Source organism: Homo sapiens, chromosome 1 (genome assembly GCF_000001405.40).
Source record: "Homo sapiens chromosome 1, GRCh38.p14 Primary Assembly".
NCBI lineage: Eukaryota > Metazoa > Chordata > Mammalia > Primates > Hominidae > Homo > Homo sapiens.
In genome coordinates, this window is record NC_000001.11 from 187441499 (window position 1) to 187457061 (window position 15563).

The 15563-nt window shown below is 36.5% G+C and overlaps 1 long non-coding RNA gene across 1 annotated transcript in view; it reads left to right on the top strand.

Moving 5' to 3' along the window:
* Nucleotides 1–2129: 2129 nt before the first annotated feature.
* Nucleotides 2130–15563, top strand: part of LINC01037 (long intergenic non-protein coding RNA 1037) — a 33595-nt gene continuing 20161 nt past the window's right edge. The window contains exon 1 of the long non-coding RNA NR_132374.1: nt 2130–2228. This is a non-coding gene — a long non-coding RNA (long intergenic non-protein coding RNA 1037). The remainder of the gene's footprint in view (nt 2229–15563) is intronic.

Sequence of the window (15563 nt, forward strand, 5' to 3'; positions counted from 1 at the left end):
AAATTGTATCACCTTGAAACTCATCCAGTGATTATTTTAATACGTTATGACTCTTGGGCATGGGGCCAATCCACAAAATTGTTTTCTCCTTGATTTGCAAAACAAAATTTGGAGCAGCTGACCCATTACTATTTACTTAGGCCTGATACTAACAATTTATTTCCAGACTTACTGGGATATTCTAGTATACTTATAACTCAGCTGTCTTGGGTTGAAGAGTAGCAAATTATATTCTTCCTACCAAAGCATATGAAGATCCATTCTCATGTAAACTCATTTATAATGCCAGGCTACACTGCCTCATGAAGATCAAGGTCAAACTGTATCAGCCCTTAGATGTAAGGCCTGTGTGTTTCCTGAAGCCTGTGTTCAACTTGGAAGATCTCGGCCTTTACAGAGAAGGGGTAGCGTTTTCTGAAATGCATACTCATTAGCTCAAGAATTGGCTAAATATACCAAAGGACAATTACCTTAAGTCAAGGTGACTGATATGGTTTGGATCTGTGTCCCCACCCAAATCTCATGTCGAATTCTAATCACCAGTGTTGAAGGTGTGGCCTGGTGGGAGGTGATTGGATCATGGGGGTGAAGTTCTCATGAATGTTTTAGCACCACCCACCCTCAGTCCTGTATAGTGAGTGAGTTCCCACAAGATCTCGTTGTTTAAAAGTGTGTGGCACCTCCTCTCTAACTCTCTTGTTCCTGCTCCTACCATACAACACTTGCCAACTCCCCCCCTCCCCTTCTGCCACAATTGTAAACTTCCTGAGGCCTCCCTAAAAGCCAAGATGCCAGAATCATGCTTCCTGTGTAGTTTACAGAACCATAAGCCAATGAAGCCTCTTTTCTGGGTAAATCACCCAGCTTCAGATATTTCTTTATAGTAGCACAAGAACAGACTAATACAGTGATGTTCCATGTGGCCTGAAAATTCAATGAAGAGCCAGCTGTTAAGCTCACAACTATAAAAATACAGTCACATCATAGAATTACAGGCATATGCAAACTTCCCACGTAGCCTGCATTGATAAAGTATCTCCAGCATTTAAAGCCTTTTGATCAAGGCTCTGCCAGATCTCTTCTTCTCATTGTATCACTCCCCAAATATCCATCTTACAATTTCCATTTTCAGTGCACCAAATCTGAACACTTTTTAAAATGTAAACTACTACTCTCACAAACTTTAGAACCTCTTTCCTCCTCTCTTCACTTTTCCAAAGGGGGAAATAATGTCTTCGTAAGTTTCACAGCATGAAAGAGCAAACAGAAAGCATGCAATCCCTATAGGCAGGTAGTCACGTGTCTCACTGAAAAAGAGAGAATGGGGCTAGATGAGAATCATATGAATTTAGTCCTCTCTCTCTGAAGAGGAACAATTGAGCAAAGGAAGCCAAGAAACATTTGCTAAGAAAACTCTCCCTGTATGGAAGGAGACATTAGGATTGGGAAAGAAACATTTCTTCCTAACGTAATTCATGGTCTCAAATTCTCACAAATAATTTTACTCTTCTCTTTTTGAAAGGTTGCCAATCTTCAATTCTGGGTAAATCCCACCGTTGACATTTTATGTTCTTGTTTTTAGCCTGGAAAAAAAATCTGTTAGAAAAAAAGAACTAATTAATCTACTGAATCATTAACTATGTTTTTGGGTTTTGTTTCTGTGATAATGTTTTATTCTCTAAAAGATGTCTATACTGGGTCATTATTATTTGCCTACTGCATTTCAACTGTATTCTTTCCTATTGTGGCTGATTTCCTCAGTAGTACTCAGTATTTACATTATTCATCTCCAGTGTTAGTTTGCTAGAGAAATCATTTGAAACATGTTTCATTTTCCCCAAATACCCAGGTACTGAAATACACACCTTAGATGACTTTCATTTCTTCAAAAGTTTTCACACTTGCCCTTTTTCTCCTTTCTCAGAGTAGGGGGTTATTTTCCTCTTTGTAAAGTCAACCCCTTCGTGAATGGCTAGATCCCCTTTTATCTTCTCTTAGTCCTTCCACTTCCCTCTAAAAAGACAACCACTCTAATGTGCTAAATTTGTGTCTCTTTTTTTGCCTTGTGAATTTTTGACATATGGCATTTTATTACATAATCTCACTTTTTCTTATTCGTTTCCTTTTAGTGCTGCTTGTTGCTGACGTTTCTGCCCAAACATCATGAAATGTGGAGAAGAAAGAACACTCAGATGTGCCCTGGAGACTTTCCTTTTATTTTTAAACAGGTACATCCTGAAATTATGTTAGAGTAAGTTTCAACATATTCAAAATCATGTCATAAAATGAATGTTGTGAGAATTATTGACAATCCTGAAAAAGCTTGGGTTGTTACTGGGTTAAGATGTAAAAGAACCCACAGGTTATTTTCCTTTTCTTCTTCTCTGCCTCACTGTAGGTTCATTGTTACCAGCCCTGTAAAAACAAAACAAAAAAAAAAAAACAAAAAACTGTTTTTGATAATCGGGTTCAACTGTCTCTCCCCTACTATAATAGTTTGTTAAAAACATGCTTCTGGCAATGTGTAAACCTAAATACAATGCAGAATTTTCATTATCCTGCAATAAGAGCGACCGCCTGAAAATAAAGCCTGCACAAAGGAGGGCAAAGCCAAGTTGTGGAGAGAGAATGAATGTGAAAGCAGAGCTGAGCCAGAGGGACACAGGCAGCCTCTGGGTCAGTGTGACTAGTGGGCCTGAAGCCAGATTCCTTTCTTTATCTTTTTAGTTATATGAGTTAATGAATTTGCTATATTTGCTAAAATTGGCTTGAGTTGGCTATTTAACATCTGAGAATAAAGTATGCTGGAAAACAGAATAATTGGTAGTAAGAGGGATTGTTTGGAATTGGAAGACCCAAAACATGGAATCAATTGATTCAAGATAGGGTGGGTGAGAGGGAAAGAATTCCCTCAAATTGGGAATTCTTGACAATCTTTTTGTAAGGAGCAAAGTGTTGATTAGACCAATGACTATTGTGTTTAAAAAACAGATACTTGATTGAGTAGTAGTTGGAAGCAGGATGTGTTTTCTAATGCTTAAATCTTATAATATGGTATTAGAGGAAAGAAGATCTAACCTTTGGTTTCAACCATCCTAACTAAAAGAAGACAGGAAAGAGAACGGTACAGTTTGCTATGGCCAGCAATCCATGATGAGAATTAGATAATCGTGCATAGTGGGTGGTCGTACTAGGTGAATTTTTTAAGTTATTCTTTCCCTTCCTCCATTTCTTTTTCTTTCTTTCTTTCTTTCTCTCTTTCTTCTTTCCCTCTTTCTTTCTCTCTCTTTCCATCTTTCTTTCCTTCTTTCTTCTTTATTTCCCTCTTTCTTTCTCTCTTCTCTCTCTCTCTTTTTCTTTGTTGTTTTATTTTATATTCAGAGGATACTTGTGCATGTTTGTTACATGAATAGATTTTGTAATGGCGAGAGTTAGGCTTCTAGTGACCCAGTCACTCAAATAGTGAACATTGTACGTAATAGGTAATTTTTCAGCCCTCACCCCCTCCAACTTCCCCCATTTTGAAGTCCCAAATGTCTATTATTTCTATTTTTATATTCATGTGTACCCATTGTATAGCTCCCAATTGTAGGTGAGAATGTGCTGTTTTGATTTTCTGTTTCTGAGTCATTTGACTTAGGATAATGGCCCTCAGTTCCGGCTATGATGCTTCAGAGGACATGATTTCATTCTTCTCTATGGCTACACTAGCTAGATGTTTTGCCTCTGGCAGGGTGAGCAGCAAGAACCACAATCATAGATTCCATTGGGTACAGAGGAAGCTTGTTTCCCTAGCTCTGTGTGAAAGCTTCCTATACTATGTTATCTTCCTGACCAAATGAATTGCCACTCACTCTTTAGTCACCCACTATGATTTAGTCTTGTAGCAAAATGCAAAATATACTTACGTCATTATCTAAGCCCATTAATTTGGAAGCAGAGGCCTAGAAGGAGGCTATTAAAGACCAAAGTGGGGAAGAACACCAAAGTCTGTAGCTAAAACACAAGGATGCAGGATCCAGATTAATCAGCTCTAACATAACAAGATTGCTATCTTTAGTTACTTGGTTGGAGAGTTGAGAGACTGCAAATTTGCCAGCATCCTACTGTGGTTTTAAGAAGTACTTTATTACTGGAAAAATCCCAAGCTAGGTAAGTAAGAAAGGATTCATATGATTCTTTACTCCTAAGATTTGAAACTTCAAACTACCCACACAGGAAGTGAGCTGGTAAAGCAACGTAGCTGCTCAATTTCTCTTCCACGTAACAGTAGGAAGAGCAATGGAAGGATGAATTTTCCAGTGAAGAGAATCAGTAGAATTCACTTTGGTTGACCAAGAAACATTTCACTTCCTTGGCAGGGAATCCTTGCAAACCGTGTCTCGGAAGTATGATAGATGCCTTATACATTGTTTCTCCTTCTTCCCCTTTCTAAATCGGAGTTTTAGTGATAATTTTCCTGTTCCAACTTCATTAATGTATATTCAGTGTGCGGAGGTGGTTAAATATGTTATTTAGCTATGGCCTTTTGCACCTTGAAGTCATATCTAAACAGACCAGTCTGCAGACTGCCCAGAAAACCTTGACTTAGAGAAGAATGTATTAACTAAGATTCAGCTAGTCACCCTCTGGAGGAAAGGATAAGTGAGATTTTGCTTATGAATGGGACACTTGCATATTGCTGGGCTGAAATTTTTGAAATTTTATGAATTGCAGAAAGTGCATTTATGACTACCAGGAAGCGAAAGGATAGAATTACTGAAAGCATCTGCTTTTTTTTTTTTTTTTTTTTTAAGACAGAGTCTCTCTGTGTTGCCCAGGCTGGAGTGCAGTGGTACAATCTCAGCTCACTCCAACCTCTGCCTCCTGGGTTCAAGCAATTCTCCTGCCTCAGCCTCCCGAGTAGCTGGGACTACAGGCACTCATCACCACGCCCGGATAATTTTTGTATTTTTAATAGAGACGGTTTTCGCCATGTTGGCCAGGCTGGCCTTGAACTCCTGGCCTCAAGAGATGTGCTCAGTTTGGCCTCCCAAAATGCTAGGATTATAGGCATGAGCCACTGCACCCAGCCCAAAAGCATCTACAATTTTTTTTCACTCTGCCCTCCACCATTTATTTTCAGAAAAAGTGTCTCTTCTGCTTCATATGATTTCGATAAGCTTGTTAATCAAGATGGTTTGACATTTCTAAATAGAGACAAAGGGATATGGTCTATTCTGATCATTTTGTTAGAACAAGACATTTACTATGATGTTTATAAGGTAATATGGTGTCCTTGTGCAGTGCACAGTCTTTATAACTAAACACTATGACAGTGGTTGTGATATATAGCATTAAGGAGCCACAGGAACACCAAAATTGAGAAACTGCCCTGGATTGAAGCATAGTGTTCTGAGAACACTAAATAGTTTGGTGCAACAGAGGTAAATTATATAGAAAAGCTTGTAACATCCTCTTTTCCAGATAACTGAGATCATGGTGTTGAACATCTTGTGGCTGTAATCAGAAGGTTAGACTTTACACTGTAAGCAGTGTTGGGCCACTAAAGAGACAGAGTCTCACTCTGTCACTGAGGCTGGAGTGCAGTGGCACCGTGTCAGCTCACTGCAACCTCTGTCTCCTAGTTTCAAGCAATTCTCCTGCCTCAGCCTCCTGAGTAGCTGGGATTACAGGTGCTCACCACCACACCCAGCTAGTTTTTATATTTTTAGTAGAGACGGGGTGCTGGCCAGGCTGGTCTCGAACTCCTGACCTCAGGTGATCCACCCACCTCGGCCTCCCAAAGTGCTGGGATTACAGGCGTGAGCCACCACGCCCAGCCACCACTAAAGATTTTAAGATGCAAGTTGTATAATCAGAGCTATGATTCATAGAGTGAGGAATATAAAATGAAAACAGGAGAGTCTGAGCTGATAAGTATTGTTAAAGGCCTGGGTTATGGGGAACAGTGTGGAAACATCCACCTTGTTTTGCTAGCGTTGTGAATACCACCAGTAGTGTTTATCTGACATGCATCTTGCTCAGGGTTTTAGGCCTTGGCTCTTGTCTAGAACAAAGAAGTTTTTACAAAGGAGTTTTTAGAGAAAAATATGTTGGTCTCAAATTATTTATCTCCCAGAGGTTTTTTTCTTTTTTTTTAAATTTCATTTAATTTATTTAAAAGACAGTAGAAAGCAAAAAGTATGAACATAACAGTTACATATGCTTATTAAAATGGGAGATAAAAGACAACTTATATACAAATAGTTTGACAGAGGCTCTTGCAGTAGAAAATTGGAAAGAAAAATATAACAATTACATGGAATTGTTAAGTCAAGGATCTTACCCAATATCAGGCTTTATTAAATAATGTCAAAATTATAAGCCATCGAAAAGTGCACATGAAGCAGAGATCTGGGATGTCAAGGACAGCTGACTAGGTCTTGCTTCCCACATTGGACATGCACTTTTGGCCAAGAGTAGATGAGGTCTGCAGGTGAGGTTTATGGGATTTCTTATACTATGAGGAATCTTAAAGAGGTACTTTATAGACCAGAGTTGTATAGTTCAGGTGACACTCTTCAGAGAGCCTTATGTAATTGACCCCGGGTTTTATTCATTCTAGGTAATTCTTAGCCACAGAAATCTTCCTACGGGCCTTTTAGAGATAAGGAATATGCTTACCAAATGTCATTAGTTTACTTATTTGAGAAAGTCCATTTGAAAAGGAAATTACTGTCACCTGCCTTCCCTCTTCCCAGTTTCACTGACGTCTTCCACAGGGGAGCAAAGGGATTTCTGGCCGCCTGTTGCTTTGACTCCTTACTTTTTTTTTTCTTTTCTTTTTTTTTTGAGATGGAGTTTCATTCTGTCACCCACGCTGGAGTGCAGTGGCACAATCTCAGCTCACTGAAATCTCCGTCTCCTCAGTTCAAGCGATGCTCCTGCCTCAGCCTCGCGAGTAGCTGGGTAACTGGGATTACAGGCGCCCATCACCATACCCAGCTAATTTTTTTATTTTTAGTAGTGACGGGGTTTCACCATGTTGGCAGGCTGGTCTGGAACTGCTAACCTCAGGTGATCTGCCCACCTCAGCCTCACAAATTGCTGGGATTTTAGACATGAGCCACTGCACCCAGCCTCCTTTATTTCAATAGTATTTCAGAAGTATGTTGAATAAATGGACTAAAATGAATTTTATAGTTACAGCAATCTGATAATAATTATGTAAAAAGTCTGTGAAAGACCAAGTGACCTGGGAAATAAGACGGCTTTCCTGCATGAGAATGGTTTGCAAGTTTTTCCAATCCTGAAATAACCAATAGAAGGAATGCCAAGGAACTGGCCCTTCTCTTACTCTTTAGCGTATTGACTACAGCTTGATTGACTGTGCTGTAGGTATTAGACAATTTTAGAATCATTACATAAATCAGCATGCCTCTCATATTAAAAAAAATTTTCTTTTACATTGATGAATGCTTGTCTTCCTTCTTAAGAAAAAATAAATAAATATCTACATCCTAGCAAACATACAGTGTGTTTTAAAACTGCTAGCAAATAACCTACATAATTGGACAGCCCATTATCTTGATTATTATTGTTACTTAACACAGATATAGCACTTGCTTCAAATGGCATTCACTCAAAGTAACTGACAAGCATTAATTACTTAATGTGTTCATGTTCTTTATGGAGAAGTTAAATATAGTTGAGTATATATCTGAGGACACACACATAACACACACACTCCCAGGATTAATAGAGAGTCCAAGGAAATGTCTGTTGATTGCTGAATGTGTATATAATAATGTCTATATAATTCCCAACAAATGGATATCAGTCTTCATTTCAGGAATACACTTTCAGTAACAACGTTTATAATCACTTAGCCACAGTTTTAGTAAAAAAATTATTTTAGTCAGAAAGTTCTTTACAGTTAAATTTTTATGATAATTTTAATCCATTTTTTCTTCCAGAATAACAGAGTATCCTTTATGTTGTCTTCCGTGAACAATGCCTTCAGGTCCCCCCATATTGATATCCTTGGTGTCAGAGCAAATAAATTGAATAAATAAGTAAAAGACAAAAATCCCTTTTCCACTTCCTAAATATACATTCATAAGAGACTAGAGGGCCAGTGTTATCAATTATTTTCTTCTTCCCCTCAATGTATTAGCATATTCTCTAGAATGATGTGCATGTGCTGATGAACAAAGTCAACTTCCTCCTCTGGGTTAGTTACAGTGTATACCCAATTAGTGTCTCAGGTATTTTTCCTATCAACATGGCAGAGCGCCCAAATACACCTGGATTTAATTGCCCTTACCTTCATTTGTCAATATTTTCTCTAACTTTGGTGGAAGTTGTTATTCTGTGTCACCGAAGGATCCGTCAGGGTGTGTAGAGTGAAAATAGTAATAGTTAGTGGTTATTCATTCCTTGCTTATTAGGATCTCTAGATCCAAAGTCTCTAACTTCAAACTGTCAACATAAGCATCGTACATCTAAGCTATTTCTGTCTGAATGCACCATGTAGACCATTCTATGTCACATATATATTTATGACACTTTAACTGAATTATTACTGTCTTACAAGTGATCAACATTGCAGTTTACAAAAGATAATAGAAAAGATGAAACTTTCCCTCCTGAGTCTCATCTATTACACAAACCCGAGCTAGATAGGCAATAAATACTATATGCTGCCAGAAGGCTGGGAACTAAAATTATAGTAGTGCAATAAACCAGGGTGGTATGGTCAGTCCCAGAGGAGAGGCTTCTATAACATTGAGAGATAAGGTTTACATAGAAACAAAAGTGTTCCATAATCTATTCTAATATCGTGTCTATTTTATTCTGGTGTTCTTTCAGGTAGCTTTTACTCTGTGGTGAATTCTTTTTAATTAAATTCTAGTTATAATTTGAAACCATCTAGGCTTCTTTTCTCTGAAAATCTGATGAAAGACATGGGTCATCTACACAGATAATGCACACATACAAATAAGCACAGAATTTTAGATATTTATGTATAATGCCTATCCAAAGACTTCATAATGATTCATAAAACATGTGTTAAAAACCCCTATACTTTATACAACGTAAGAAAAAATAAATTTACTATTTCATCTAATGCTGATAATAGACTAGAAGATTTCTACCTGAAATCAATTATTCTTTTATGATTTAGTTTATATATAATACCTCTCATTCTCCTAAAGTGTTAAGGATCTACAACTTTAATCCATGTGTAGTATTCTATAGTTTTGTATATTTTATACTATTATTCATTTATCGGCTTATAAAAACTCTGGTAAAAATTTTGTGTTAGAAATAATGCTGACTTCTGAAATGCACTTAATACTTTGTACCAAGAGAACCATTTTTATATTTCACTTTTAATGTTTTTCACATTCTGGAAGTATTGTTAAGATCCTTTGTTTTTAAAATGGACATGATTGAGGGCAACTGTAATCTATGCATGTGAGACTACAAATGCAATAGCAGCCCTTGTGAGAACATCCATGTGTATGAGCTTTGTAGCTCTTACTTTAATTTATAGAGTCTGTGATTGCTCTACTTTGCCTCCTACATGTTTGGATTTCTTGAATTCCTTATTTGAAAGAACTACCCCATACATGATGGCTATTCCTTCCTCTGAGCTACGTGATTGTACAAAAATATACCTACTGTAAAAATGGGAATAAAAATGCAGGAGTTATAAAAGGCATTGGTTAATGTTAATGTATAATTATATAATAGTGAGGTGCTATTAGAGTGGAGAGAAGTATTAGTAGCTATTCCATTTATCCATTTATCGATTCCATTTATATATTATTGGTGTTAAACAAGCCATCCCATAACTGAGTGGCTTGAAACCACAACTCATTATCTCTTATGGTTTTGTGGTATGCCTGCTTTTAGCTAGGTAGTTTCATCCGGGATCGCTCAAGTGTTTGTAGACAGATAGCAGCTGGGACTGAAGTCATCTGAAGGATGGGCTGGGCTGACCATGGACACTCCCTGTTGGCCCATTGCTTAGCCGGAGTTGCCAATTGAGCACCTCTGTGTTATCTCACTCTGTGTGATGAGGGAATCCTCGCATCACAGTAGTTGGAGTTCTTACATGGGGTCCTAGGACTCAAAGATAAAAGGTGGAAGGATCCAGGCCTCTTATAAAAGGCTAGCCCATAACTAGAATAGTTTCATTTTGCTGTAGATAAAGCAAGCTGTAGGCAAATAAGGCCAACCCAGATTCCAGGAGAGGTAAATAAGACTCCACCTTTTAGTGGAAGGAATTTTTGAAAATGTGCTTTAATCTCTTATAGAAGCCATTTAAATAATTCCCAGAGATGAGCAGCATTGACAAGCTGTAAGAACAGGGATTTCTAATACTATATTTTAGATTGCTAACCTTGCTGTGATGTGCTAAGTTACCTCTAACTCCCAGAATTTTCCTTAGGTTGCCACACACACATATATAAAATTTGTGGATAATTAAGGGTGAAAGTATTTAAAGGAAGCATAGCTTGTCTCACATTCACCACTTTGTTACTGAAAAAAGAATGGCATCCTATCAAGAAGACTGTGTCCAGGGCATTCAGATCATGAAAAGCAGCCAAATGAACAATGAGACATGATGGGGTACATAAAGAAGTCCATATAAATCTTCATCATATAGAATCTTAAACACAATATAAAATATTTGAGAGTTTCTGAAGTAAAGATCCCAGGTAAATCTTGTTCATACCAGTTGTTCCCATACTAATTTGACATAGATTGGTCACACTTTCTCTGTCTCTCTTTATTTCTCTCTCATTTAATTTTTTCCTAACAACTATCAATATCTAACAGCTTCCTAAAGACACTTTGAAAAATGCTGCATAGTAAATATAACAGAGAGTGTGTTGATTTAATAAAGAAAAATATCTTTGGATTACAGCTTCTGAGATAGATTTAATAAAGGAAGTAGGAAACTAGCAGAATCATTAATAAACTTGTTTTAGAAAAGAAGTGGAGAAATTCTGCTAGATGGGATAGAAGAGATTCGTCTAGTCCTAGAGTTTTCTTCAGCAGGCCCTAAGATTTTCCTGGAGATATGTCAGAGAGGACCAGGAAGGAAGTGGACAGAAAAGTAAGCAGGTCTCTACACTCTAATTTCTTAGCAAACATCCCAAAACACTCAGTTAATACCTCTTCACTGTGAAGAGTTAAATAATAGATTTCATTTGAAATGGTAATGGTGATAAAAGGATGAAGAAGAAAGAAAGGACAGGAGTGGGAGGAGGAGGAGGACAAAGTTCATTCAAAAATTCAGTGGCACAATCAGAAATAGAACAAAGATCCTCTGTCTTTGAGACGAGGCTGTTCTAGTCTTCTACATGATCTCTGAGGAGGGGAAATTCTGAGATCAAGAGAAAGTTAGGTTGTGGTCAGACTGTTAGCAATCTTACATTTTAGGATAAGAATTTTTGTCATTACTCTTAAAGATTTAAAAAATTTTACAAATATATCTTAGCAGGAAACAGAATTTAATTTTTAAAGGAAGATAAAATGCTAGTAGCTCAAGATAAAATTAAAGATAAAAATATTGCAATTCAGAAGAAAAATATTTAAATAAATAGACTGGTTTATGTAAACAGTTCCAGCAAGAGGTAGTGAATGATAGGACTCTATGAATTCCAAGCTGATTGACAGGTAAGCAGAAAAAGCAATACATTTTTGGCCTTGAAGTTCTTATGAAACTTTCTTAATGTCATTCTATTTGATCATTAACTCTTTATTAAAAAATTCAACAACTTAATTTTAAGTCCTGATTGTAGAAATTTGGTTCAGTTGCTGCTATTTATGTATAAGTATTATATCTCTAAATTAAAAATATTTACTGCTCTTTTTTAAAAAAATATTTTTTGTTAAATTACGGCATCTTCTTAAATGCTTTTTATTAATAATTGTTTACATTTATAATTGGCACATAATAATTGCTCATATTTATATACAGTATGATGTTTCAATGGATGTATACATTGCATAATAATCAAATCGGGGTAATCACCACATCCATCACTTTAAACACTTATTATTTCTTTGTGGTGACAACATTCAAAACCTCTTCTAGCTATCTTGAAATATACACTACATTGGTATTTGCATAGTCACCCTCCTGTGTTATAGAACAGCAGAACCTATTCTTCCTGTCTGTCTAAATTTGTACCCATTGACCAACATCTCCCAATCTTCCATCATCCCTATCCTCCTGAGTCTCCAATAAACACTGTTCTCTCTATTTCTATGAACTCACTCTTTTAGATTCCACATATAAATGAGATCATGCAATGTTTGTATTTCTGTGCCTGGTTTACTTCCTGTAACATAGTGTCTTTCAAATTCACCCATGTTGCCACAGACGATAGGATCTAAATAATTTTAAGGTAGAGTCAGCCAGTGTTATTGAGTAATTTACTGAAAAAGTAAATTAATTATAGTTAGTACATTTAATTGTGTAGACAGTGTCTGAAACACAACACTTAAAATGTCAATGCCAGCTTTTGTAATGAAGCCAATTCTCTAAGCTCTAGTAGGATGGAGATGTGTCTGTTTTAGTTGGTATAATTTTCTCAGTGTCTGACACCTGGTAGACACTTAAAGTTATTCGTGGAATGAATATATGTTAATGCATGAAGTTGCTCATTTTCATGTTATTAAACATTGTGTAATACATTATTACATTTTGAAAGTTTGTAAAATTTCATCATCCTCAATAATATAGGTTCTGTGAATGAATATGATCGGATAAAACAGAAACAGAAATTTATGTAGGATTGATCATATTATAATTGAAAATTACTTAGAAACTCTTCAAAGTAAATAAGTAGGTACGTATCATGCTATACAAGGTCATTTCTCCTTTTCTGCAAGCACATTCCTGTTCAGTCTAAATTAGTTCTTCCAATCAAGCAACTGATGAGGTATTTTTTACCATACTTGAATTTTCTGCACTACTATAAAGAAAGAATAACACATAATTAGAAAGCCTGGAAGAACATTTGCTAAGCCATATCTGTTTTTTAAATGATTTTTGTTCATTCTTACTCCACATAACTGGAAAAATATATTTTCATGGTGATTTTGTGAATTTAATGCTTGAAATAATATAAACATTTAATATAAAGTATGACTTTATCTCTCTAATTTTTTGAAATTGAGTGTAATTTGAATTTTTTGAATAAATACACCTCTAATATTAGACTATTACAATCAATACAATTGTTTCTTGTAAGAAAAACCTGTATCAGGGACTAGTGTAATTTCTTGTAATTTTGGCTATGCAGAATCTGATTGCAAATACCCTATCAGAAATTCTGATTAGCAGTTGTAGATGTCTTTGATTAATAAGTGATAAAGTCATCATTAGTTAATAAATGTCATTTATTTCACAGAAAATTTCTCTTTCAAATACAGGACTCATGAGAAGCAGAGGTCTCTGTCTCTTGGGTGACAAAAATATTGGGGCACAATGAACTCAATATGGTTTAGGAATGATTAGTTCTTTGATAGAGAGTTCTCTGATGTAATTAGTGTGCTTTTTTTTCAGGGTTTTAAATATCCAGCATGCTCTTTTGTCCACTTGATTAACCAGTAAATTAAATTTTTATGTAAGTCTTCTGACCTAGTCAATTTGTCAGGAGTATACATTAACGGAGGGTAACAGATGAGGTTCTTCCTGACCCTCTGTACAAATCGCTGCACCTCATCTACTTCTACCAGAAGGAGCCTCTGCTTTTACTGACATATGGGCCGTGATGGAAACAAGCAAAAAACTAAACATTAAAACTGAGACATTTTAAGAGAGTCTGTGAAGTTCACAGTAAGAGAAGGCAAGACACTGAAAAGAGAAGGCATATGTTAGACGAAACTAACATTAAGTAATGTCTTTCAAGGCAAGAAGCACTTAGATGTTTATTGAATAAATGAAGTGAATGAATAAATAAATGCCTTATAGGCTGCACCAACTTAATATCTGGATATTTTCTTCTGTCCAAAAAAACTGTTTTATTGTATTTTCTTAAACTTCCAATCATTTTAAAGTCACTGCAATCGTTTTAAAGTCACTGATTTTAAGAATTAGTAGGCCTTATCTTTTAAAGCTGCATGACCTTAAGATTTAGGAGGAAAACTTGGAGTGGGCCTTGGATAGTGCTGCTTAGAGCAGGTGAGTTACTTAGATATTTGAGAAAATGGACTGAGGGGTTAGAAAAGAGGGTAAATATGACATTTAGAAATAAGCAATGCATTTCTTCTCCACCCCATTCTTTATCTCCTTTCTTTTCCCTCTCAACTTTTCTTTTTCTCCTCCTCCTGTTTCCCCTGTTTGAAAATTGAGATCCTTATTTCCCAGGCTACAAACTCAGGCTAAAATTATGTATTCTATACTTCAAATATGTTACACTTAGATAGTTCAGGGACTTCAGACCCTAATCATAATAGTTTCTTTAGAAAATGTTGCTTAGTTACAAAACTTGTCTTTTTATAACAAATACAACAACATTCCTAATTTGGAGGTGTTTGTGAATCAGATCGGTGGAATACCTATATGCTTTACCCTTTCTCCTCATTAAAATAAAAATCAAGATGTTCTAGTAAATTCCTTTCACTCATTACACCATTGATGGTTGTATTCTCAAATACCTGTGAAGAAAATTAATGAGCTTTTGTGGAGTACTAAAACTGTGCATATCTTTGGAAACTAATGTTGTATTTAGCTTCAGTCATGATGGATTGATCCAGTGCACTGTTATACTGGAAAATGATTTATAAGAAGAAAAACAGGTGTCATTTTCTTTATGATTTATGGGTTTTGATCTTTAATCCTGAATTTTCATATCATTAGTCCTGAGAAAGGGATATTATAAGACAGGTGCAATGAGACTTCAAATATTTTCATACGTATAAATCAGTTTATTATCTATTTTTTGGTCATGGGTTTTATGATGCAACACATAATCATGATGGAGCACACAATCCTTAACCCTAGCATGATTTCTCAAATCCATATATTTGCCAAATTGCATAAACATATGTCAGGTTCACGACTATGCCAATTGTTATGCTTGAGGTTGGGTTCCAGCCCATCCTGAGGTCTGAAGGGAGTGGGTGAATGAGCAGAAAGAACACTCTAGGGGCCGTAGGCAGTGAAAGATGATTTTATTCAGCAGCAGCTCTCATAACAGCTTTTCCTCACATTGTTCACCCTGTCTTGACTGTTTAGTCCGGCGGCCCCCATACACAGCTGCGTGTCCAGCTCTCCCTTGCCTTCAGGGTCAGCAGCTTAGCTCTTTCTCTCTCTGGGCATGAGTGAGCCAAGCTGTGTCCTGGCTCCCTTCTGTCTGTCTGCAAAGACAGACACCTCTGACTCTCTTTCTGTGGGAACCAACGCACCTACACAGTGTTAACAGGGCAATTATACATTTTACAGATAATACTGGTGTAGAGCCAAGTGATGGCCTTCCCATGTTATGGCTACATGGCTGTAATAACAAGTGGAGTTATATGCCTATGCTCTAAAGTCGCTGATGTAAATATCC